The sequence below is a fragment of the Homo sapiens genome, chromosome 8, assembly GCF_000001405.40.
Source record: "Homo sapiens chromosome 8, GRCh38.p14 Primary Assembly".
Lineage (NCBI taxonomy): Eukaryota > Metazoa > Chordata > Mammalia > Primates > Hominidae > Homo > Homo sapiens.
Window position 1 is genome coordinate 58,761,451 of NC_000008.11, and position 26,080 is coordinate 58,787,530.

Genomic DNA, 26,080 nt, shown 5'->3' on the forward strand with positions numbered 1-26,080 from the left:
CTTTTTTTCATATGTTTGTTGGCTGCATGTATGTCTTCTTTTGAAAAGTGTCTGCTCATGTCCTTTGTCACTTTTTAATGGGGTTGTTTGTTTTTATCTTGTAAATTTAAGTTCCTTACAGATGCTGGATGTTAGACCTTTGTCAGACGCATAGTTTTCAAATATTTTCTTCCATTCTGTAGGTTGTCTGTTTACTCTGTTGATAGTTTCTTTTGCTGTGCAGAAGCTCTTAAGTTTAATTAGATCCCGTTTGTCAATTTTTGCTTTTGTTGGATTGTTTCAGTGTCTCTGTCCTGAAATCTTTTCCTGTTCTTATGTCCAGGATGGTATTACCTATGTTTTCTTCTAGGCTTTTTATAGTTTTGGCTTTTACATTTAAGTCTTTAATCCATATTGAGTTGGTTTTTGTATATGGCGTAAGGAAAGGGTCCAGCTTTAATCTTCTGCATATGGCTAGCCAGTTGTCCCATCACCATTAGCTGAATAGGAAGCCTTTTCCCCATTGCTTGTTTTTGTCAGCTTTGTTGGAGATCAGATGGTTGTAGGTGTGCGGCCTTATTTCTGGGCTCTCTATTCTGTTCCATTGGTCTATGTGCCTGTTTTTGTACCAGTACTATGCTGTTTTGGTTACTATAGCCCTGCAGTACAGTTAGAAGTTGGGAACAAGTTCCTTCAAACTGTAAAAGCAATGAAAACATGCGTTGAGATTTATCACAAAGTCTCTTTCCATGGTTCCTTTTGTGGGACTCTTTGGCTCCGTCAGTCCTCCTTATTTACATCACTGCCATTTTCCATTCACTGTAAATTCCCAGTTTACAAACATGGGGATATGTCTGCTGTATTCACTGATGCCTTCTCAGGGCATAAAACCATGCTTGGTCCATATTTGGAGCTCCAGAAATATTTGTTGAATAAATTAATGAGTGAATTTTTGGAAACTATCACAATTGAACAAAAGCTCTTGTGTTAGGACTCCTTTACCATAATGAATTAAAGTTCCTGAATAATCAGTTGGTTTAATTTTTTTTTAATTAGTAAATTCAATTGTCTATTCTTGTTAGGAGTTCCACTTTAGGTAAAATAAGCCAGTGCTGTCTTCAAACTGGGGCATAAGTATTTCTGGGGATAGACAAAGATTTTTCAGGTGATTCACAGACAAAAACACTTAAAGGAAATCAACATTCAGATCTTCAGTTTCCACATATACTCTTTTCTAAAATTTATTCAACTGAGAACACACAGGTAAACCACCTCCACTGTCATTATCATGTTTCTTACACTTTACAAAAGAAAGGCACGTCTCTCACCCAGCCTGGTTCTCACTATGGTGTGTTGCCTGGAGTGTAGAAACTCAGGTGACCATAAAACCTACAATCGAACAAGGGCATTCTTGAGAGTGAAAGTAGGCTCTATGAATCATTAACTTGGGGCCAGGCACAGTGGCTCACACTTCTAATCCCAACACTTTGGGAGGCCAATGTGAAAGGATCCCTTGAGCCCAGGAGTTCGAGACCAGCCTGGGCAACCTAGGGAGACCCTATGTTTACGAAAGAAACTAGCCGGATGTGGTGGCACGTTCCTGCAGTCCTAGCTACTTGAGAGGCTGAGGCAGGAGAATTACCTGAGGTTGCAGTGAGCCATGATTGCACTACAACTTTCCAGCCTGGGTGACAGAATGAGATCCTGTCTCAATAAACAAATAAATAAAATAGTTAACTTGCGACAATATAATTCACAAAGGTGTATTCAGATAACACTATCACCATTCTCCTCTCCCCTTCTGAGTATACTGGGTTTAAAAAGGTGGTTCTAAGTGAAAGAGTAGCAGGTAAATTAATAATCACTTGCTAAAGTGGTAAAATTTAAAAAGTATTCTTCCCAGAAATTGATTAAGTAAATAAATCCAATGAGCCAGTGATTTCTAAAACTTTGTTTCAAAAGGTCTTATTGAATTGTCAGCTGATGGATCAAAAGACATAAAAAATGTTTATAGCAGCATCATTCATAATAGTCCAAGAGTTGTTACCCAAAATCTCTATCAAAAGTTGCATGCTATATCCATACAATGGAATCTTACACAGCAATGAGAAAGAACAAATTGTTGCTGCATATAATAACAGGGTTGACTTTCACAGTCACAGTTTTAGCAAGACTATACTTTTTGATTTCATTTTTATGAAGTTCATCCACAGACAAAACTGATCCGTGGTGTTAGAGATTAAAACAATAGTATAATGATTATTTTTGGGTGGGTTATAGACCAGGAGGGGGCACAAAGGAGCCATCGGGAGAGATGGAAATGTGTTCTAGATCTTGATCTCGGTAGCGGTTACATGGGTCAATCTACATTTAAATCTTCATCTAGTTTAACATTTGTCAACTTTATGTAAGGTATACATTAATAAGAAAGAAAAACAAACTGATTTATTTCATCAATAAAGGTTTACTAATGCACAAGGCTGGGGGTTGGTGATGTAATAATGAACAGGATCTCAAGAAGCTTATAGATAGGAAAACCGTCTCTACAAACCATATCTATCTGTTTTGGCAAAATTGTTAACACTCACTTGCACCCCCCCAGATGCCCTGGATTTTGTAATAAATTACATAATTGCTCCATGTTCCAGTTATCTATTGCTTTGTAACAAATAATCTTCAATGCTTAATGGCTTAAAATAAAAATTTTTAACATAGCTCACAATATTATGGGTCAGGAATTCATGCAGGGCTCAGCTGGGCAATTCTTTTAGCTCTACTGGCCTTGAATGCAGTCACTTGGAGGCACTAAACTGGCAGATGGGCTGATCTGGAGGGTTCAAGATGGTCCACTCATAAACTCTGGAACTTTGCTGGGGATAGCTGGGAGACAGGGTTCATCTGGGATAGTTGACTGGAGTACCTCCATGTGGCCTCTCCACAGTGGACATCTCAGGGTAATTAGATGACCCTCTAATGAGGTGGCTGGCCTGGTGGAAGCTGCATGACTTCTATGACCAAGCCTTGGAAGTCACCTAGTGTCTCTTCCACCTCATTCTATTGATTGAAGCAGCCACAGCCTGCTATGTTCAAGAAGAGGGAACGTAAACCCCATTGCCCAGTGGGAGGGATGTAAAAAAATCTGCAGCCATTTTTAAAAAACCTCAATGCCCTACTTGGATCAATTCCAAGTAGACATTTTACACATCTATGTTCTCAATATCTTTTGCATCCTTGTCCTCTCTATCCTTAGTATAACGTCATTAGCTTGGATTCTCACAATTTTTCATTTGTACTGTTAGTGAATACTCTTAATTGATCCCCTGTTCTAATTTCTGTCTTCTTTATTTCGTCTTATTCATGGTTACCTAATGGCCAGCTTTAAAAATCTGTTAAACTTTTGCTAAAAAAATTTTGAAACAAATCCCTCTTTGTTTATGAATTAGAACCCAAACTCCTTTGACTGACATTTAAAGCTCTTTATGACTTGATTCTAGCCTATTTTTTCAGACTGATCTTTCATTTCCCCTTTCGTGAACTTTAACGTTCAGCCAAATACGCATTCTTTATGTTGCCTCTATAGGACCCACGCTTCACAGCCTCAGTGCATTAACTCACGTCGTATCTTCTGTCTGAAGTGAACCTGCTCACCTGACATACATATGTACAGCCCAAATCTAACGGTTCTGCAAGGTCCTGCTGAAACGCCTCCTCCAGGATGCTCATTCATTCATTCAACAAACATTTATTTCAGGTCTTACTCATCAGCCTCTTTCCTAGGCCCTGGAAACACAGAGGAGAAGAGGCAGAAAAGGTCCTCAGCCTCAGAAGATTTGCAAATCTCTATTGGGAAGTAATCTTGTCCCTTGATCACTCATAAAAATCCATTGATTCTTTTCTTGTGCTAATTTTAGAGGTAGTGTAAGTAGAGTAACTAAATATTAAGATCCTGAAACTGTGACCTTGAAAAAGTTTTGGACCTTCTTTGGGCTTCAGTTTTCCTTTCTGTGAAGTGGGCTATTAATAGTACCTATCACACAGTTGCCGTCAAATTTAAACACATTATTAAATACAAAACACTTAGAATAGAGTTTGGTAAACAGTAAGCACTAAATAAGCTTTAGTTATTATTATTATTATTGTTGCCACTGTCATTTTTGGTTGTATATTCCCCCCACATTAGATTTATATACTTTTTTGAGGCTGGGTAAGATAGCTTACAGTTATGGTGTTTTGGGGTTAGTGTGAACTTTTAAGTCAGATAGAGCTGTTTGAGTCCAGCTCAGCAACTCATTAACTGTGAGACCTTGGCCAAGTTACCTTTCTGTACCTTACTTTTTACATATTTAAATTCTGCAGAGCAATACCTAACAGAGTTGTCACAGGGATTTAATGAGGTCGTATTTGTATATGGCCTAATTTATTGTCTGATACGTAGTATGTTCCTCCCAAACGATGATGAAGGTGATAATGGTGATGATGATGAGCAGAGACAGTGATAAAATTATCATTCTGACATTTTCTAGGATCCCCTCTACTTACTATGATACATAATTTAGTGAATGTCCTTTTAGATATTCTAATGCTACTATAAAAACAATGTTCCCTAATTAGGATTATACTGTGTTTAATTAATCTCCTTTTATTGCTTCCTGTAAATAGTAGATGTCTTTAAATTTCAACCTGTAGAGATGTGCCTCATCTTTTAAAATGATTATGTGGTGCTTCTTTCTATATGTGTATAGAAATAATTTATTTAAGCAGTCTCTTACAAATGTATACTCAAGTGTTTCCAAGTTTTTCCATTATATACCATGCTATAATTAAATCAATTACATAAAGATATATGTTACTATACCTATCTTATTATTTCTTTAAGATAAGCATTTAGAAGTAAAATTGCTTTACAAAGGAAATGTACATCAAGATTTTTATGCATCCTGATAAATCGCTCTCCTGGTTGGTTGTAACAACTACTACTCTCTCTGATGTAGTCTGAATGTTTGTATCCCCCTAAAATTCATATGTTGAAACCTAACTACCAGTGTGATGTTATTAGCAGGTAGGGCTTTTGGGGTGTGATTAAATCACAAGGACTCTGTCCTCATGAATGGGATTGATGCCCTTATAAAATAGTTCCAAGGGAGTCTGTTTTCCTCTTTCACCATGTGAAGACACAGTGAGAAGACGCCACCTATGAGCCAGGAAACAGACCCTCACCAGACACCAAATTGGCTGGCACTTTGGATCTTGGATTTTCCAGCCTCCAGGACTGTAAGGAATACATTTCTGTTGTCTATAAACCACTCGGTTTATGGTATTTTGTTATAGTAGCCCGAATGGACCAAGACATCACCAAGTATTTAGACACCATTACTAAATAAACACTAGGCTTTGGTCAATTTCTGCACATCTTTGTCAAGATTTATTTTTTTCATCTCTTTTTTAAACCTATCAATATATTCCTACTAACACAGGCTCTTTAATGTATGTCTTTTTATTTCCTCTAGACTACAGGCTTCTTGAGAAAAACAACCTTCATTCATTTTGGTAGTTTCCACTAATCAGTGATACATTTCCCTGCATCTGGAGCAAGTACATATCTTTCCTCAGCAATTATTTGCAACATTAAAGTAGATCAAGGCCTTAAGCAAAGTCACGTATTTGTTCATTAAAGGGTTGTTGGGGAGGGAGATGGTTTCAAGTGATTGGAAATTAAAATTTATTTTTAGAATTTACTTTTATTTCAAATATAACTCCTTTTTCTCCCTGCTGGTATTTCCCTGTTGGTATAATAGATCTGGAGTACCTGAGTGCTGCATTGTGGGTAAAGAGAGGAAGGATAGAGAGGGGACGAGAGGAGGTCTGAGAGGCTGCCAGGCAGGCTTAGGAGGGCTCCCATTTGGCTCCACTGTCCCCTACCAGACAAAAGTGAAACCAGTCTGGTCAGTTTGTTAGAAAAGACTTGGCAAGGGTGGCTGTTCCAACAAGAAAATCATCCGGGGCAAAAGTGAGAGAAGGTGACTGGCGATTACTATTAAAAAGTTCGGAGGAAAATGAGGTGCAGGTAAAATACTTTCTTACATGCTGCTTTTAAACAACGGGAGTCAAGAAAACAGTGTATAAAACAATAAAAGAGCTAGAGAGGTTTCCATATGAGAAGAATGAAAAGTTTTTTTAAAAAAACCCCACCACATTCTAAACCCACCACTTTAAATGAGCTCGGATCTCAATACCCCCAAGAATTACATCCTAGGTAATAATATGGTACTTAACATTTATACAGTGCAGAGTTGCAAATGGGAGGCCCCTGGGCTGCATTCAGTCTCCAAATATGTTTTGTTTGGCCCACACAGCATTGGCCAGATAGTGTTTGTAAAAATTTTTAGTAGTTACCCAGATTTAAAATTAGAAACAGCCTGGCTATTCACCAAACTGCTTCACTTCATCCCCCAGGCACACAGCTAGATTGCATTTCTCAGCCTCCACCGCACCATGTGAAATGTGAATGAAAGCGATGGGCGCTTCCTACAGGTCTGGCCCATGCAAACCGACCATGAGCAGCCCTCCCAGCTCTTTGCCCTTTTGTTTCCCTGAATGACAGTGTGGAGGAGAGTCTCCTTTCCCACTCTTTCCTCCTCTTTCCCTGCACCAACCCAAAACAAGATTGGGTGAGCAAGAAGTAATCGTCTGTGATGTTTGAGCCGTTTTGTATGTTGGCATTCATCAGACACAACAGTTAGCAGATGCTACTCAATATGCTCTGTAGCCGGGTTCATGCAACCTCTAGTATGGCAAGATCCATTCCCTATTATCTCTTATACCCCTAAGGTATTACCCAGTTATGTTTCCTGGTAGACTCCCTTAGGTATGATTAGAATTTGAGACTTTTTATATTGTGCTGTAGAGTTTACTAGGCATGCCCACAGTCACATTCATTATCCCTTAAACCTTTTAACAACTCTGCGTTTTTGGCACTGGATACCCCCATTCACTCTTCAGTAAGTTTGGTTTCATCTGAGTAAAAAGTTATTGAGCTCCTACCACAGACCAGGCACTGTGCTGGGCCCAGGAGATACAAAAATGAGACATGGGGAAATGGAAACTTACAAATGTTTTGACTCATATCATTACACATTTACCAAGTTACAGGCTGCTAAGAGAAATGGCAGGGGTGATATCATGTATCTCTACCAAGAGCAATCTCTGAGAAATAGTGGTGGTCTGGAATAATGCCAGAAGATAAGACATGATCAAAAGTTTGGACTTTTCAAAAGGAAAATAATATGACTTCTTGAAACTAGAAATTTGTATATTTAATGTTGATACCAGGAAAAAGCTTAGAAATCATCATTTAACAAAGGTTTTGTGACCACTTATAAAAGAAGAAATCATTCCTGGAAGTCAGGATTGGTTCACTAAGAGAAAATTTCACTAAACTTAATTTATCCCCTTTTTGAGTGGGATTATTATTCTGCAAGCTATGGAAAATGTTACAAAGATGGTTGCTTTAGTTTGCTTGGGCTGTGTATTAGGCTGTTCTTGCATTGCTATAAAGAAATACCTGAGGCTGGGTAATTTATAAAGAAAAGAGACTTATTTGGCTCACGGTTCCACAGGCTGTACAAGCATGGCACCAACATCCGCTCAGCTTCTGAAGATGTATCAGGAAGCTCTTATTCATGGCAAAAGGCAAAGCAGGAGCAGGCCTATTGCTCACACGATGACAGCAGGAGCAACAGAGGCGGAGTGGGGTGGGTGGAGGCACCACATATTTAAACAACCAGATCTAGTGAGAGCTCACTTACTATCTCAAGGACAGCACCAAAACATGAGGGACCCACCCCCACGAACCAAACCCTTCCCACCAAGCCCCACCTCCAACAGTGGGAATTACAATTCAACGAGATTTGGTGGGGACAAATATTCAAATTCTACTGGGCTGCAACAACAAAATACTACAGACTGGCTAGATTCAACAATTTATTTTCTCACAGTTCTGGAGGCTGTAAGTCTGACAGCAATGTGCCAGCATGGTCATTTCCTGGTGAGGTCTCTCTTCCTGGCTTGCAGATGACTGCATTCTCATGGTGTGCTTACATGGCCTTTCCTTGATGCCTGAGTGTGGAAAGAGGGGGTAGGAGAAGGTCATCGATCCTGTTGGATTAGGATCCCACCTTTATGACCTTATTTAACCTTAATTGCTTGCTGAAGTCCCCATCTCCAAATACAGTCACACTGGGGGTTAGTGTTTCATCATATGAACTCCAGGTGGGGTGGGGGGCACAATTCAGTCCATAGAGATGATGACTCTTGCTTTTAACATAGCATCTGACAAGAATATTTTTATGATATCACTATAGATCAATTGAATACATATCCTAGAAAATGGTAAATTTAGATGGGTGTAGATTAATAGGTAATTGTCGAACATGAGAAAGGTCATTGGTAGCATGTCTAGGTTAACACTTTCATTAAGAACATAGTTATAAACATAGAAAACATACTTGTGGAGTGTGCAGCTCATATACTGGATGATAAAATCAAGATTCAAAATGAAACCTACGGGCTAGATTTATGGATTCAACTAATGAAATGTCATTCAGCCAGATAAATGTACAATCCATTACTGAAGATGAAGACATTATATAAGATAGGATGAAAGTTGAGAAAAAATCCTGGGGGAAATGAGTCACAGCAACCCAGGCTGTGTTCTTAAAAGTCTAAATCTAGGTCGAGGTGATAGTCCCATGTTGTACCGGTTCTGGGAGACATATGTAGAAAGGAGGCCATTGATAATGTAGAAAGGATTCAGGAAGATGACTAAGATGGCCCAGTACCTGGTTCAACTCAGTTGCTATTGCTCTATGTAGTGCTGGCTCAGGGATCTGGAGAGAGTTAACTTAGAGGTATGAAGCCTTGTGGGGAATACGAAACCATCTTCAAATATAAGGAACGTTGTCATAAACTGCTTTTGATTCTATCTGGGTGGGGGGATTATAAAATAGTTTTGTTTTGTTCTTTTTCTTTAATTAAAAAAAAATCTACCCTATTTAGACTGCATGAACTCCACTAAGCGCTATTTCAAGCACCTCACAAATGTTGCCTCTCTTATTTCCTAGAACAATCTGGTGAGAAAATAGTATGTCCCCATATTATTGATGGGAAAACTGAGGGCCAGGGAGGGTAATTGTCTTTTCCGAGGTCATACAGCTAGTAGGTGAAGGAAGTAGGGTTTGAATCCAGCTCTGTGAGGCTGTAGAGCCCGTGCTCTTGACCAGCACACTTTATTAGCCCCTGTTCTTTCCACATGTTCTGTAATAAGCAAAAACATTACTTGGATATCCAGGGAAAACATTTAAAAATGAAAGCAAACAGAAAGACAAAGAGGCAGAGGAAGGACCATGGATGGAGGTTAATGCAGTTAGATTTAGGTCTGTATCTGGAAGAACTGTCTAATGGTGACACATTTCCATGAGTGGAGCGGGTGGCCTTGATGGCTCTGGATGAGGATCTGCAGAGGCTGTGGAGGTGAGGAAACACCTGGGATCTCTGGGTGAGGATCTGCAGAGGCCGTGGAGGTGAGGAAGCACCTGGAAGGCTCTGGGGGAGGATCTGCAGAGGCCACAGAGGTGAGGGAGCACCCGGGAGATTCTGGGGGAGGATCTGCAGAGGCTGTGGAGGTGAGGGAACACCTGTGAGACTCTGGGGGAGGGGCTGCAGAGGCCATGGAGGTGAGGGAGCACCTTGGATATACTGGGTGGGGATCTGCAGAGGCCATGGAGGTGAGGGAGCACCTGGGAGGTTCTGAGAGAGGATCTGCAGAGGCCATGGAGGTGAGGGAGCACCTGGGAGACTCTGGAGGAGGATCTGCAGAGGCCGTGGAGGTGAGGGAGCACCTGGGAGACTCTGGAGGAGGATCTGCAGAGGCCGTGGAGGTGAGGGAGCACCTGGGAGACTCTGGGGGAGGATCTGCAGAGGCCGTGGAGGTGAGGGAGCACTAGGTTATCCAACCTCAAGATGCTCTATACAGTGTCCTAATGGATCTATTCATTTCTTCAACCAGCACATGATTATTGAGCACTCAGTAAGCCTCAGACAATGGTCTAGGCTTCAGAGACACTGGTGAACAAGTCACTGCTCTCGTGAAGTTTATATTCTAGTCTGAGGGGACAGATAAATAAAGGCACATGTAATATGCAGGGTGATGATAAGTGCTCTATGAAGGAGGAGTGCACAGGACAAAGGGATAGGGAAGGATGTTGGATGGGAGAGGAACAGAACTGTTATATGCAAATGCAGAGTGAGACTCCGTGGACAGTTCCTCTAAAATATAAATCATACCAAGCCATTCTTTAGTAGGTCCCTCAGTGATTTAACATATTAAAATATCTCTAGTCATTCTTCATTTTAAAGTAAAATCCAAAGTCCTTACAATAGACTGCCATGTCCTACCTAATAGGCTCCCACTCCACAATTGCTGCAACCTCATTTTCTACCTTTCCACCCATGCTCCTTTTGCTTAAGTTACAATGGTTTCCCAGCACCTCCTACGACACACTGGCGCACTCCTGCCATAGGGCCTTTGCACTGGCTCTTCACACTACCTGAAACCCTCTCACCTAGATATTCACACGGCTCACTGTCACCTCCTTCTAGACTTTGTCCAAACGACATCGTATCAGAAAGGCCCTCTGTCCCTGACCACCCTGAATAAACCAGAGCTTCTTCACCCATTGCTCTCTCTCCCATGACCCCCAGATCAGCTACATATTCTGAAGGACCCAGTACAAAATAAAATATGAGGTTCAAAAAGCAGGGGAAAAATGCTGTTAAAAGTACTAAAATAGGAAACTTTTTTCTTTTCTTCGTGACCTCTTTCTCAACTTGTTTTTTAACTTGCCATTTAATGCTGTGCTCTAAAACGCAGGATGCTTGTAGACTGAGGGTAGACCTTCAGAAGCACATGGGGTGCCCATCCACTGTGGTGGGCCTGGTGGAAGGAAAGATGCCTGGCCCAACTTCCTGGGCATGGCACATCAGTCATCTGGCAATCAGTGGGAAGGGGAACCTGGCAGCCAGAGAGCTGCACAAGGCACCAAGTTGCAGGTGAGCACCACGATGCCCTAGGTACCTAGATCAGGGTGGGAGAGAGGCTTGCCCTCATTGAGTCACCCACTGAATGCACTGCGGTGCTACCAACTCTGGGATGAAGACAGCCCTGGCCACACCCCATCTGGGATGGCACAGAGCGTATGTGCCCAATCCTGACCCTTCCCATGCTTTTGTTTATGTCCCAGCTGGGGCCACAGGGTGGCAGCGATCAAGGGGTGGATGCATGAATGGGGTGGCCCCATGGGGCCTGGAGTGCCAGAAGGTCGGGAGCAGGTGTCTGGGAACTTGTCCTGGGAGGTGGCAGGAGGCACGATGGGGCTGAGGCTCCAAGTCTCCACTCCATGCCCCATTGTCCCATAAGATTTCACTTACAAAACCCAGATGCAAAGATGAGATTATGACTATCAGGACAATAACCACAGGGCATTAAGCCCCAGGTGTGGGCCCTTCTGAGTTTGGGGCCCTCTACAACTGCACAGGGCCTAAGCCCTTGAAAAGCCCTCCTGGCCACCCCATGTAAACTTTGCCTAGCCACTGTATTATGTATTTATTTGATTTTTAATGTTCTGTCTCCTTCCCCCATTAATAAGCTCCACTGAAGTGAGGACATTGTTCTCTTCCTTATGTGTTCTTAGTGCCCTCAGATAAAAAGGATAAAGAATGACTTAAACTCTGGAATGTCAATACATAAAACTTGAAAAAATATTGCTTCTCAAACTACCATGGCACATGTATACCTATGTAACAAACCTGCATGTCCTGCACTGCACATGTATCCCAGAACTTAAAGTAAAATTAAAAAAAGAAAAAATATTGCTTCTAATCCAACAAAAGGATACAGGGCTTTACAAGGTGAGTCACAGGACATCTTTGGAACATCCAGCATGAAGGTAGGAAAAGTTAAAAGTATGAATAAACTCAAGGAGGATTCAGGTAATTTTAGAGAGACTATATCTATGCTACTCAGAAGTTTTTAAGTGAAGTAAGGATGTTTAAGAGACCTTGAACACCAGAGTTTCAAAATAATAGCCTTGAGAGCTCCATGGGCTGTGTGCAGAGGCTCAATCCTGGGCTGCTGGCCCTGGCAGACCAAATGTGGCCTTCTTTTGTGCTCCTTTTCTTGTGTTTTACTTCACAGCATGGCTTAGCACCCTAAGCCAGGCACTCTGAGGACATGCAATAGAAATAAATATAAGATGTGAATTCCATTGGTACCAACTTTCAATATGCAACTTTCTTTTTTTTTTTTTTTTTTTTTTGAGACGGAGTCTCGCTCTTTCGCCCAGGCTGGAGTGCAGTGGTGCAATCTCGGCTTACTGCAAGCTCCACCTCCCGGGTTCATGCCATTCTCCTGCCTTAGCCTCCCAAGTAGCTGGGACTACAGGAGCCCGCCACCACGCCTGGCTAATTTTTTGTATTTTTAGTAGAGACGGGGTTTCACCGTGTTAGCCAGGATGGTCTCGATCTCCTGATCTCGTGATCCGCCCGCCTCGGCCTCCCAAAGCGCTGGGATTACAGACGTGAGCCACTGCGCCTGGCCAATATGCAACTTTCAATCAATTCCGTACCCCACTTTCAATCAATTCCTACAGAGATGAACTCATACAGAGCGGGGTGGTTTCTAACTGAAGAATCAGACTTTGCAGAGACGTTGACGCAGGGTCAGAGTTGCCAAATGAATGCTGTACCCCAGAGGGAAGTGAGCACAGCCTTCCCTTACAGGGAGTAGGGTGGGCCTGATGCTGAAAGACAGGGAGCCTATGGAAGTTTCCTTGGGGTAGGGCAGGGACGTGAATAAGTCTGAGTCTGCAACAATGAAAATATTCTAAATCTTATCAAACACTGAAATAAAATCAGTTCCTAATATTTACTTTTTGTTGTTGGAATTCCTAAAAGTCTTTAGCCATCATGGAAGAATTAAAACAACATATTAAATGGAGCTAATAAAGATGACCTTTTTTCCCTTTCAATAATTTGTGTTAGTGCTATCATTACAATACATTTTTAAATGGAAGAAAAAGCCCAGCCATCTTTCCCCTATAAAATCCTAGATGTTTTGACTGTAAGAAGATTTATATATCTATCGTAGATTAAAGTAGAAAAGCTTTTTGAAACCTCAGATTCCAGAGCTCTATTTCTGGGGATTCTAACTTAATTAGCCTAGGTAGGAGCTTGGGAATGTGCAGCTATTATCTCCAGGGTTCCCTGGTGATTGGTTTAGTTCAGAAACTTCTGATCTTGTCCAACCCCTTTATAGACAGAAGAATAAACCCAAGGACCCAAAGAGCTCAAAACTTTCAGTTCCTCTTTGGATCATTTTTGTAAAGAGACAGGCATTTTGAAGTCACATTTTATTTACCATTTTGTTTGTTTGCTTTTAGCAGTGGTCAAAAATGAGAAGAATATATTTTAAAGACCAAAATACAGAGTCGTCTTACGTAAGCACAGATGCTACCAATATGGTTCATCCATCTAATAGATCATTTGTGTGTATGTACTCATGTTGACTCATTTTATTATTTTCCAAGAAACTAGTTCAACCAAACGGAATAGTGAACAGCTTCCAGCTATCTTAGTGTTGACTTAATTTTAATGCTTTTATTAAAATTCATTGCCATTTTCTTACTTAGCCTTCTCCTTTCTATAGCACTTTGCAAAAAATTGGGGGGAGAATTACATGAATGTGAATTAGCAGATATGTGGGAATATTTCATAAATCTTACTTTCCTGAAGCTTCTGTTACTAGGTCCTCTTGGAATATGGCACACTCTATGTGTTAATTTATTAATTTTTCATTTCAATCCAGAAAGGAGTTAAGGAAGTCAAAGATTTCACTGATTACTTTTAGTGGTGTTCCAAGCAATGAAATCAATTTTTTACTAGATTCTTAGATTTCATATATCCATTATGTGTGTGTGTGTGTGTGTGTGTGTGTGTTTATATATCTGTTGACTCTATACCAAGGTAATCAGTGAAAAGGAGTGCCAGACCCCAGGCAAAACACTAAGACTAACTAGGATGATTTTACAGAAAACAAAGAGGAATTGTTCCTTACAACAGAACAGAGAAACAAAATGCACATTTTAGACAGAATCACCAAGGAAACAGTACAAAAAGGAGAAGCAGCTTTAGTATACCAACAAATCTGAAAAACGAATTTAGATATAAAATCAAATTTGCCACCTTAGTCCCGCTGCAGTCATCTGGTCACTCCAGGGATATCCTAGAAACCCTCTGGGTAATCACTTGCAAAATGTGCAATGTAATTGGTGGTGTATATAAACCAAATGAGGAACGAATGAGCCTGAAAATATATTGGTTCTACACATCCTCTCCTTTGGTTTCAGGAGTCTTGGGCTTGTGCCTTTAGGGATATATTAGTCAGGGTTTTTCAGAGCAACAGAACCAATAGAATGTGTGTGTGAGAAAGAATAAAATATCTAAGAATACAGTTAACCAAGGAGGTAGAAGTTCTCTGCAATGAGAATAACAAAACACTGCTCAAAGGAATCGGAGAAGACACACAAAAAATGAAAAAACGTCCATACTCATAGATAGAAAGAATCAATATCATTAAAATGGCTATACTGCTGAAAGCAGTTTACAGATTCAGTGCTATTCCTATTAAACTAACAGTGACATTCCTCACAGAACTAGAAAAAACTATTTTAAAATTTATATGGAATCCCCCAACAAAAAAAGCCCAAATAGCCAAAGCAATCCTAAACAAAAAGAACAAGGCTGGAGGCATCACGTTACCTGACTTCAAACTATGCTATAAAGCTACAGTAACCAAAACAGCATGGTACTGGTCCAAAAACAGGCACATAGACCAATGGAACAGAATAAAGAGCCCAGAAATCAGGTCACGCACCTACACCTATCTGATCTCCAACAAAGCTGACAAAAACAAGCAATGGGGCCCGGCCAGCCACCCTGTCCGGGAGGTGGGGGGCAGCCCCCGCCCGGCCAGCAGCCCCTTCTGGGAGGTGGGGGGCGCCTCTGCCCGGCCACCCCATCTGGGAAGTGGGGAGCCCCTCTGCCCAGCCGCCACCCCGTCTGGGAGGTGTACCCAGCAGCTCATTGAGAACGGGCCATGATGACGATGGCGGTTTTGTCGAGTAGAAAGAGGGGAAATGTGGGGAGAAGATAGAGAGATCGGATTGTTGCTGTGTCTGTGTGGAAAGAGGTGGACGTGGGAGACTCCATTTTGTTCTGTACTAAGAAAAATTCTTCTGCCTTGGGATGCTGTTAATCTATAACCTTACCCCCAACCCCGTGCTCTCTGAAACATGTGCTGTGTCCACTAAGGGTTAAATGGATTAAGGGCGGTGCAAGATGTGCTTTGTTAAACAGATGCTTAAAGGCAGCATCTGTCATCACCACTCCCTAATCTCAAGTACCCAGGGACACAAACACTGCGGAAGGCGGCAGGGCCCTCTGCCTAGGAAAACCAGAGACCTTTGTTCACATGTTTATCTGCTGACCTTCCCTCCGCTATTGTCCTATGACCCTGCCAAATCCCCCTCTCCGAGAAACACCCAAGAATGATCAATAAATACTAAAAAAATTTTAAAAAAAATAATGGATATTATGCAGTGGTATAACCAGGTAAAATTCCCTAAAACTGACAGAGATCTCCCCTGGAATATTCCATTATTCCAGAGACTTCTCACATAATTCCAATCTTAACTGAAGATTATGGAAAATAAACGTGTTTATTTTGATGTCAATAAAAGGTTTTATGACTCAAAAAAAAAAAAACACAAGCAATGGGGAAAAGACTTCCTATTCAACAAATGGTGCTGGGATAACTGGCTAGCCATATGCAGAAGATAAAAGCTGGACCCTTTTCTTACATCATATACAAAAACCAACTCAAGATGGATTAAAGACTTCAATGTAAAACCCCAAACTATAAAAATCCTGGAAGACAACCCAGGCAATATCATCCTGGACATAGGAATGGGCAAACATTTCGTAAGAAAGACACCAAAAGCAATTGCAACAAAAGAAAAAAATTGACAAATGGGATCTAATTAAACTAAGGAGCTTCTGCACATCTAAAGAAACTGTCAATAAACAGGCAACCTACAGAATGGGAGAAAATATTTGCAAACTATGCATCTGACAAAGATCTAACGTCCAGCATCTATAAGGAACTTAAGCAAATTTACAAGAGAAAAAAAACCCCATTAAAAAGTAGGCAAAGGACATGAACAGACCCACTTTTCAAAAGAAGACATACATGTGGCCAAGAATCATATGAAAAAAGTTCAATATCACTGATCATTAGGTAAATGCAAATCAAAACCACAATGAGATACCACTTATATCAGTCAGAATGGCTATTATTAAAAAGTCAAAAAAATAACAGATGCTGGCAAGGTTGTGGAGAAAAGGGATCACTTATGCACTGTTGGTGAATTAGTTCAACCATTATGAAAAGCGGTATGGTGAGTTTTCAAAGAGCTAAAAGCAGAACTACCATTCAACCCAATAATACCATTACTGAGTATATACTCGGAGGAGTATAAATCATTCTACCATAAAGATACATGCATGTGAATGTTCATTGCAGCACAAATCACAATAATAACAAACACATGGAATCAACTTAGATGTCCATCAATGACAGATTGGATGAAGAAAATGTGGTACATATACATCGTGGTATACTATGCAGCCATAGAAAAGAACAAGAACATGTGTTTTGTGGGGACATGAGTAGAACTGGAGGCTATTATCATTAGCAAACTAATGCAGGAACAGAAAACCAAATAGTGCAAGTTCACACTTATAAGTGGCAGCTAAATGATGAGAACTCATTAACACAAAAAGGAAAGCAACAGATACTTGGGTCTACTTAGTGAGGAGGGTGGGAGGAGGGAGAGGAACAGAAAAGATAACTATTGGGTACTGGGCTTAATGCCTGAGTGATGAAATAATCTGTACAACAAACCCCAGTGACACAAATTAACCTATGTAACAAACTTTTACATGTACCCCAGAACCTAAAGTAAAAGTTTAAAAAAAAGAATGTGTGTGTGCATGTGTGTGTGTATACAGGGGTGGGGTATTTATTTTAACGAACTGGCTCACACGATTGTGAAGGCTAGCTAACCCAAATACGAATCTGCAGGCGGGACAGTGGGCTGGAGACCCAGAGAGGAGTTGATGTTGTAGCCTTGAGTCCAAAGGCAGACTGGGGGAGATTTCTTCCCTCCTCGGGAGACATCAGTCTTTTCTCATAAAGTCTTCAACTGATTGGATACGGCTCACCCACATTATGGAGAATAGTCTACTTTGCTCAAAGTCTACTGATTAAAATATTAATCACATCAGATACCTTCACAGCAACATCCAGACTGGTATTTGACCAAAAGCTGGGTATCATCGACTAGCCAAGTTAGCACGTAAGATTAACCATCATGAGGAGTATAATTTTTCTTCATGATGGACAGTCACCAAGTGAACAGGGAAAGCACTGGTGTCTTCAGGGTTAGCCTTTGTAGGAAATACAGAATCTGCCTCTCTGCTCCGTAGGACAAGGATTTGGGCAAAGGGAATGCCCAGGCTGCCCCCATTCTGATCCTGGGCATGGGTTTGGTATCTCTCTCCCTTTGGGAACTATTGGGGAGAGGGAGAATAAAGCTGACAAGGAGCAGCAGGCCGTGGAAGGAAGATAGAAGTTCAGAGGAAGGCAGGGCATGAGGAAGTGCATGTTTCATTGAGTTTTTTACCCACTCAGAAGTAAAAGAATGAGATACCATAAAGTTGGCCCATCATTTGGGAAGTCTTTTCCTAATACTTCCTGTGCCTCTAATGTCTTCGGCCAGGACACTTCTTTTTGAAATGTGGAGCAGCTGCCAACACACTCTAGAGTTGAAGTGTTCCATAACTAAAAGGACTTCTTTTTAAAAAAGTTTCTATTACTACATAACAATTGTACATATTTATGGGGTACATGTGGTATTTTGATACATGCATATAATGTGTAATGAGCAAATCAGGGTGTTTAGGATATTTATCACCTTGATCATTTATCATTTCTTTGTGTTAGGAACATTTCCAATCTTCTCTTCTAGCTATTCTGAAATATACAATATTTTGTTATTAACTGTAGTCATTCTACTGTGCCAGCAAGCATTAGAACTTAGTTCTTCTATCTAACAGTATGTTTGTTCCAATTAACCTACTTCTCTTCATCTCCACCTCCTTCATGCCTCCTGGCCTCTGATAACTATCATTTTACTCTCTACCTCCATGAGATCAACTATTTTAGCTCCCACATATGAGTTAGAACATATGATATTTGCCTTTCTGCATCCGGCTTATTTCACTTATGACCTCGAGTTCCATCCATGTTGCTGCAAATGACAGGATTATACTCTTTTTTATGGCCGAATAGTATGCTATTGTGTGTTTGTGTGTGTGTGTGTGTGTGCGTACATATTCCTCATTTTCTTTATCCATCCATTCATTGATGGATCCTTAGGTTGATTCCATATCGCTGCTATTGGTAGCAGTGCTGCAGTAAACATGGGGGAGCAGGTGTTCCTTTGACATACTGACTTCCTTTCCTTTGGGTATATACCCAGCAGTGGGATTGCTGGATTATATGATAGTTCTATTTTTAGTTTTTTGAGAATCTTCCATACTGTTTTCCATAATGTCTATGCAAATTAACATTCCCGCCAACAGTGTTTGAGTTCCTTAATCTCCTCAACCTTGCTAGCATTTGTTATTTTCTTGTCCATTTTATAATAGCCATTGTAACTGAGGTAAGACGCTATCTCATTGTGGTTTTGATTTGTATTTCCCTGATGACTAGTGACATTGAGCCTTTTTTTATATACCTGTTGGCCATTTGTATGGGTCTTTTTTTTTTTTTTTTTTGAGAAATGTCTGTTCATGGCCTTTGCCTACTTTTCAATGGGAATTCTTTTGCTGTTGAGTTGAGTTTCTTATATATTCTAGATATTACTCTCCTGTCAGATGCATAGTTTGCAAATATTTTCTCCCATTCTGCAGGTTGTCTCTTCACTCTGTTGACTTTTTCTTTTGCTGTGCTGAAACTTTTTAGTTTAATATAGTACCATTATTTTTGTTGCCTGTGCCTTTGAAGTCATAGCCATAAAATCTTTGCCTAGACCAATGTCCTGGAGTGTTTTCCCCAAGATTTCTTCTAGTAGTTTTACAGTTTTGGGTCTCAAAACTTTAAGTCTCTATTACATTCTGAGTTAATTTGCATGTATCATGAGGAATAGGGATCTAGTTTTACTCTGCTGCTCATGGATATCCAGTTTCCTCAGCACTATTTATTGAAGAAGATGACTTTTCCCCAATGTATGTTCTTGGTACCTTTATCAAAAGGGGCAAAGTTGAGGACACTGGACATCCAGGAAGAGAAGATAAGTGAATTTTTAAGCGAACATTAAGGAACCTCATCATTGTACCAAATCAAACTTCAGATAGCTGTATGGCCAGGGCAAGGCACAATTTATGATGAGTCAGAAAGAGGATCTGTGATTTTCTTTAATCTTCAATCCGTGTAGTTAGGGGGAAGCAGTTTGTTTGAAAACACACACACACACACACACACACACACACACACACACACACACTTTTTAAAAGAAGTTTTGGTAAATTGTGTTCTTTCCATCATGGGAAATAAGCAGAATTATGAGATAATCCCCATCCTTTAAGATAATGAAATTTTCCTCTATAAGGCCAAAGCCTGAACCCAATGCCAAAGCCAAATAAGCCACCAATAAAAAGGCTATGAATTGAGTGAGAAGTGAACATGATTCTTGCCTTCTCTAATCCCAAGAAGACAAATAGGGAAGTTGGTGAAGGATGGACTATAAACAAACAAACGAAAACAATCACTGAAGCAGCAAGCCTGTCCTTCTAGGAGAATTCCCATTTCTGCCTTCCCAAAAGAGTGTCTCCAAAGGGCAGCAAGCATTATCTCCACTAAATTAAGCATTTGCCTCCCATTTGGGCTCTGGACTCCACATACCTATCAGTGAGGTGAGGCCAAGGCAGTGGGATTCATATTTTAGAATGGAATTATCACTCTAAGAGTTGTGCAATCACATTAATTGCCTTGAAAGGCTTCCTAGACATAAACAGGAAATAGGAGTAGCCTAACTTTAATTTCTGTCTAAATTCTCCTAGCTCCACACTGAGTTTTATGTTCCGATATAAACACGATATTATTTGTTTTCGTGATTATTATGGTCTGTAAATCTTTTTAGACCTTTGATTCCTTGATTCCTCATGATCTGGATAAAAGATGGTCTAGAAAGGTATAGAGAAATAAGAAGACAGCAATGCTTTGGAAAACAAAGGCTTCGAGAATTCCAGAAGAACTGACAGCCAACTGTGCTGAAAGCTGCAGAACCACACAGAAGATGATCAGCATTCACTTACCTGTTGTTTAATGACAGCATATTATATGTGGTATATGGTGCTGGATGCCAGGAATACAAAGAAAATCGAAAAGATACCTTACCTTCACATAACTCTCAATCTGGTGTGAGAGAGAGACATGTCAATAGTTTAAGTGCATGAGATAAATGGCTTGTTATAATTATGCGCTGTGGTAGAAGTGAAGAAGAGGCAAGAAGAACAGGAATAATGAAAAGTTTTGCGGATAAAGTAATACTGAGCGATGCCTTGATAAGGAATTTCCATGCAGAAAAGGGATGTATGGGCATTACAGACCAATGAAGAACATGAGTAAAGAAGTGAAACCACAAGACTGTGGTGCTCGTGGAAGGATAAAGTATGGCTCAATAATATGGATGCACAGAGGAGAAATATCCAGAAGAGCACAGATCACAAAAGGGCCACGTGTATATGCTACACAGAAGAATTTGAATTCAACTGCAGGGAGTAAAGCACCATTGAAAACATTTTAAGCCAGAATGTGAATGGCCAGTTTCCCATTTTAGAAAGATCTCCTAAGTGATACAAGAAGATGGATCTGAGTAAAGGAATAGCTAGTGTGAATTCCATTTGCCTACTACAAAGGTCCAAGTGAGACACAATGAAACAATAGCTAAGACAATGATGGTGAAATGGACAGAAGGGATAGATTAAGAACATCTTTTGAAGGTTGCAATGGATTTTAGTGACCAATTTATTGTAAGAGATGGAAGAGATAGAGGAGTTGAGAATGACCACTTTTTGATTTGGATCAATGAGAAGAGAGCAAAGGCAATGTTATTAATTGTTTTGAGGCCTATGAGAAAACCAGTAGACTCAGGGAAGGCGGACATGATGAGTTCAGTTTTGTATGTAACAAAAATATTACCACTGGATTTCTTGATTGTGAAGTGCATTTGTGATCAGAGAAGAAACTGAGGGAGAGAAAGAAGAAAAGAGTCTGAGAGACACAGAGAAAAGAGAAACAGAGAATGAACAGGAAACTGTGGGAAAGAGGACTGTCTTTCTCTGGTTTATTGCCTATTTTCAGCCTTAAGAAATTTAATTCTTAAGAAAGTTCCTTCCTCATTGTAACTATCTAACGAATCATAAATCAAATTAAGAAAGAGGAAAGGTAAAGTGGCAATTTTAAAACCCAATTAGGAAGTGGGCTCAATCCCACCAGAAATACTTGCCTGAAACTTTACACAACTTAAAAGAAATCCAGAGTCTCTATGATATTATCCTTTAAGAGTTACTCTAAGGGAATAAGTCACATAAATGCAATTTGGAGATTTAAAAGAATGAACATCTGGCCACCTGGCCATTATTTTATCCCAGTGTTAGTATTAAAAATACAGTGAATAATTTTGTTGTTGTTGTTTTTAATAAATGAAAGGTTGATACAGAAACATTCCCTGGAAGCCAACAAAAGCCACTTGTCTTTGACTTGACATGCTCAGAAGTTGGCCTTCATTTGAATGCAGAAACAACTCAGTTCTCCAAATGGAGACATACTTGTAATTGTTCTTGGAATAATTTCCAGGATTGAAGAAGCCCTCTTGAGGAGCAGATGTTCTTAATGAAAGACTTTTGTATCCCTACAAAACTTCTTATCCTCCATAGCAGGGGTTTTATCTAAAAAGGAGCATGAAGGCAGAATATAGTAATATGAAAATCAGGCAAAAAAAAAAACCCAAAGTACCCATATCAACAAAATTATATTCACACTATGGAAATCCTAGGGAAGGTAGGCATATAAAACATCATCTGCTATGGTGCAGTTAGACTCTTTTTCATCAAAATTTTCTTAGGGTTCCGTGGGATTGATTTGATTCAATTAATCTCACTAAGATACTACCCTAGAAAGAGATGGCTATCCAATTCTTTCACAGGCAAGTAAATGAATTTAGTGAATGCTTTCATTTTCTTATGTTGGGTTAAGCACAGAGAATCCAGGTAGATATTTGAAATGTGGTACACAGTTTGTAGGTTGTAGAGTCCAGTGTTAAAGGGCAGGACAAAGGTTTATCTGGGTTAAAACAGCAAAAACAACAGGTGGCAGGATTTGTAAGCCTTTCTCCCTGCTTGGTCACTAGCAATTTGCTGTACATCTCTGGGGCCAGAGCTTCCTGCTGATTTGACAGGATAGCAGGAAAAGCTGAAGAAAAGAGAAGCCTGTGCTGCTTCCTTTGTGGGTCTCTGGTGAGAATGTGAGCCTAGTGAGGGCAGGAATTATGCCCTCAGTTTAAATGCCTGGTGCCCAGTGTACCATGGAGTTGGGTGCAGCATACCTAAGAGACAGCGAGCTGCAAGAGGAGAATGGCTTACAGTTTTATTCCACCTCAGCTTGGTTTTTGGTAAAACATGTGGATATTATTGGAATGACTAAGTGGATGTACCTATCAATCGCACATTCTATAGTGAAGACTTGTAGATTCGTCTAGGGAGAAAACTACTAGTAGGGAACAGGAACAAGAAAATAGTTCCCCCCCCGCCCCCCTTCAAACTCCTGGCTGATTCATATTGTCCTTTAAAAATAAAATTCAAGGCAACGTTTTCAAATTCCAAAGTCCATCTTTCTGTGTTTGCCCTCCTTATAAAGGAAGCTAACCAGCTGGTTGAAAGTATCAGGCTATGAGTCAATTAACTAATCAGCTTTTCTGATTGCTCTGAATTGGGTGGGTATCCACTGCTGTTGGACAGAAGGAATGGCATGTGGTGTGTAGACAAACACTTCTGGGTGATAAGAGCCTCACAATTAAGCCCATGAGTGATCAGGAACAGATGTTTCCTTCAGGCAACTGCTCTCTTCCGGAATGATACTTGGATTTAGTGTATCCAGGCACAGTGTGCTGTCACCTTGGCAGCACCTTGCAGCACACGGCCACACGTGACCTACCTGTCCAGACAAGAGCCCCATCTGGCACCTTCTTGTCTTTCCTTTGGTGGGCTCGCCTGCTGCTGCGGCAATGCTCACTTTTGTCACTGAGTAATTTGAGATGAACCACCTCATGAAAACTTGCTGGAAGCCTTGAAGGAAAGATGCCAACACACTCCTCCTCTTTCTTACTGGCACTCTTGCCAGTTGTTCTTTTCATGCCTGAACCAGGCACATCATGGACCATTCCTGTTATTCTTACTCATGTTCAAATCACTCACCTTATTTATGCATGATAACAAAAATGGCAGAAGCAACTGATTCTCCCTGTTTGTAACCTTTTTTCCTTAGCGTTTTTCTCTTGTGGCTCCTGGAGTTTCATTCCTTGACCAGTTGAGGGATCTGTTGGCCTTCCATCACTCTGGTACATGATAGGCTATAAATATTTGGTGTGTGCAACACAACTGAATGGCACTTGAGCTTTCATGATTACAGCACACAATTACCTCCTGCTGGCATTTTTCTTATTACATCTCTAATTTCCAGCCTTCAATTTTAGGTGGTTGTGAAACAGTAGTGGTCCCTGCAGCAACCAGAGTTTTGTTGCACTCAACCGATTGAGTGAGCCTTATAAATGGATCCCTATCAGTTTCAGAAACCTATCATTTCCTCCTGATTTATGAAAGAGAAAGAAAGACAGAGAAGCTTTAGATTTTCCTTGGTTCCAAAATGTCATGCTCAGGTTCCCCAAGGAATGTAAACATTCCTTACTGACTCCCTTAGTGATGACAGGATTATGACTTAGGATGAAGCTTCTTCCCACACCCTGTCATTACCTACCAAGGCTTCTGTGATGCGAATCAGAGCTGTGGGGCGCAGAGCTCCTGCCTGGTGTAGTAAATTTACTACTCATAGAGAAACTCCCCTTGTTCTCATTTCTTTATTCCCTCTCTCCCTTTCTGTTTGCAAAGCTAAAATTGTGAGCGGATTGGGACCAAGATATCACCTTAACTCTAAGTCATAGGCTAAAATAAAACATAGGTTAGAAATTATTTGTGAGCCACATAATTTATGTTGACCAGAGATTGCAAAAGCAGTCCTTTTCAGAATATAGAACAGAGTGGTAATGCGATGCTAACACATTGTAGTTGAAAATCCCGCTGCTGAAGGTAATAGTATTGTGTAAAGACCACTCTCCCAACCAGAGCTTTCCTGCTTTTCAAATCACTCCTTTTTCAGCTTCATTTTCCTTGATGGCAGCAAATTTTTTTTTTACTTTACCCCTTCAATGAGATTAGCACTTGTTGCATTGCCAAGTCATAGCCAGTCTGCTGAAAGCCACCATCTAGGCTATATGGCACAATGGCTTGAGAAACTGTGATTTAAATGAACAGCAAATGTAAGCGATTCCTTGGCATTTCCTTTCTGAGGTTTATAAAATGGTGTCTGCCTGTCAACTAAATAAAAAAAATTAGTTCTATTTGCAGCAGGATGCCGCTGGAATCAACTGAATGCCAGGAGAGTAGACAGGAGAAATTCACATAATTCTTTAAAAATTTTTGGCTCATAGCTCCCTCTACCTTCCCTATTTCCAGGTTATATTTCAGATGGGGGTTCAAGTGGAAGTCAAACAGAACAACAAAAAAAAGATGTTCAACAAAACCCTAGAGACTTGAAGCCAGAATCCATCAAAAATAGGAGTAAACCCTGGCCCCACGTTACTAAAAATGCACCTGAAAGTGAACTGCCTGTGCCTGTGCCTTGCCGAGAGGTGAAGCAGTCTTAGTCCATTAGGTGATGCCGTGGTCGGGCATTGTGGTTTGGGTGGGTAGTGTCTGTGAGCATCTGGGGTCACTAGGAGTCTTTTCTCAGCAGCATATGCATACAGATATTTTGATTTATATCTATTTTCATGTTGCACTTCTGGTGCTGTTTGTCTTATAGTGAAAGGAAATCATAGATGGAAATCCTCTGAACAATTCAAAATTTTACAGAAATAAAAGATTTTAATATAACCAAAGGACAACAGGAATTCAAGTCCCAATTTCTGCTGGTTAGAATTCTAGAGATTGTCTTACTGTCCTGTGATGGAGCTGAGTGGGGCACTTCATTCCTGTTGCAGTGACCTCTCCGTAGAAAATGTTCTCCCTGTTTCTATCAGTTTGTCTGACCAGGTGGAATCTAACCATAGCCTTCAAATTTTTGATATGCACTGCAGGAATCCACCTGAATTCTGACAACATAATGCTGCTTAGGATGTCACATGGGCTTGGAGTTAGGGGGGAAGTATGCTTCAGTACATTGACTGGTACCACTCAGGATCTTCTGGCTATGTCATTGAATCTGTTTCTCAAAAGGCTATTCTCCCTTCAACAGTCTTTCTGACAGCTTGTGACTCAAGATCTCCATTAGCCGCGTGGGGAAAGTTGGGAAGCAGCATGGGTATACAGAGAGAGGCCGCACATGGAGTTGGAGGCTTGCTGCGAGGGACCACTTTGATTTTTCCATTTCTGGCATTTCGGGTTTCTTTTGCACATGGTTTCCAAGTGCTGTTCCTGAATATACCTCTGAATTATAGATTCCATTAGGTACACGAAATCTAGGGATTTGGGCATTTGCTATCCCATGTAGGTGAGAGGCCTCTATTTTGATTTTCTTAAAGGTGAGTTTGTA

The 26,080-nt window shown here is 40.6% G+C and overlaps 2 annotated features.

Moving 5' to 3' along the window:
* Positions 7,140-7,199: an enhancer, noted in NCBI's record as "active region_27414". NCBI's record gives its function as "activates an Ori minimal core promoter by ATAC-STARR-seq in GM12878 lymphoblastoid cells {active_cell/tissue: GM12878}" and the evidence as "EXISTENCE:reporter gene assay evidence [ECO:0000049][PMID:35858748]".
* Positions 10,723-11,223: an enhancer, noted in NCBI's record as "H3K4me1 hESC enhancer chr8:59684732-59685232 (GRCh37/hg19 assembly coordinates)". NCBI's record gives its function as "activates a minimal SCP1, AML or CMV promoter by ChIP-STARR-seq in naive H9 embryonic stem cells {active_cell/tissue: H9 hESC(naive)}" and the evidence as "EXISTENCE:reporter gene assay evidence [ECO:0000049][PMID:30033119]".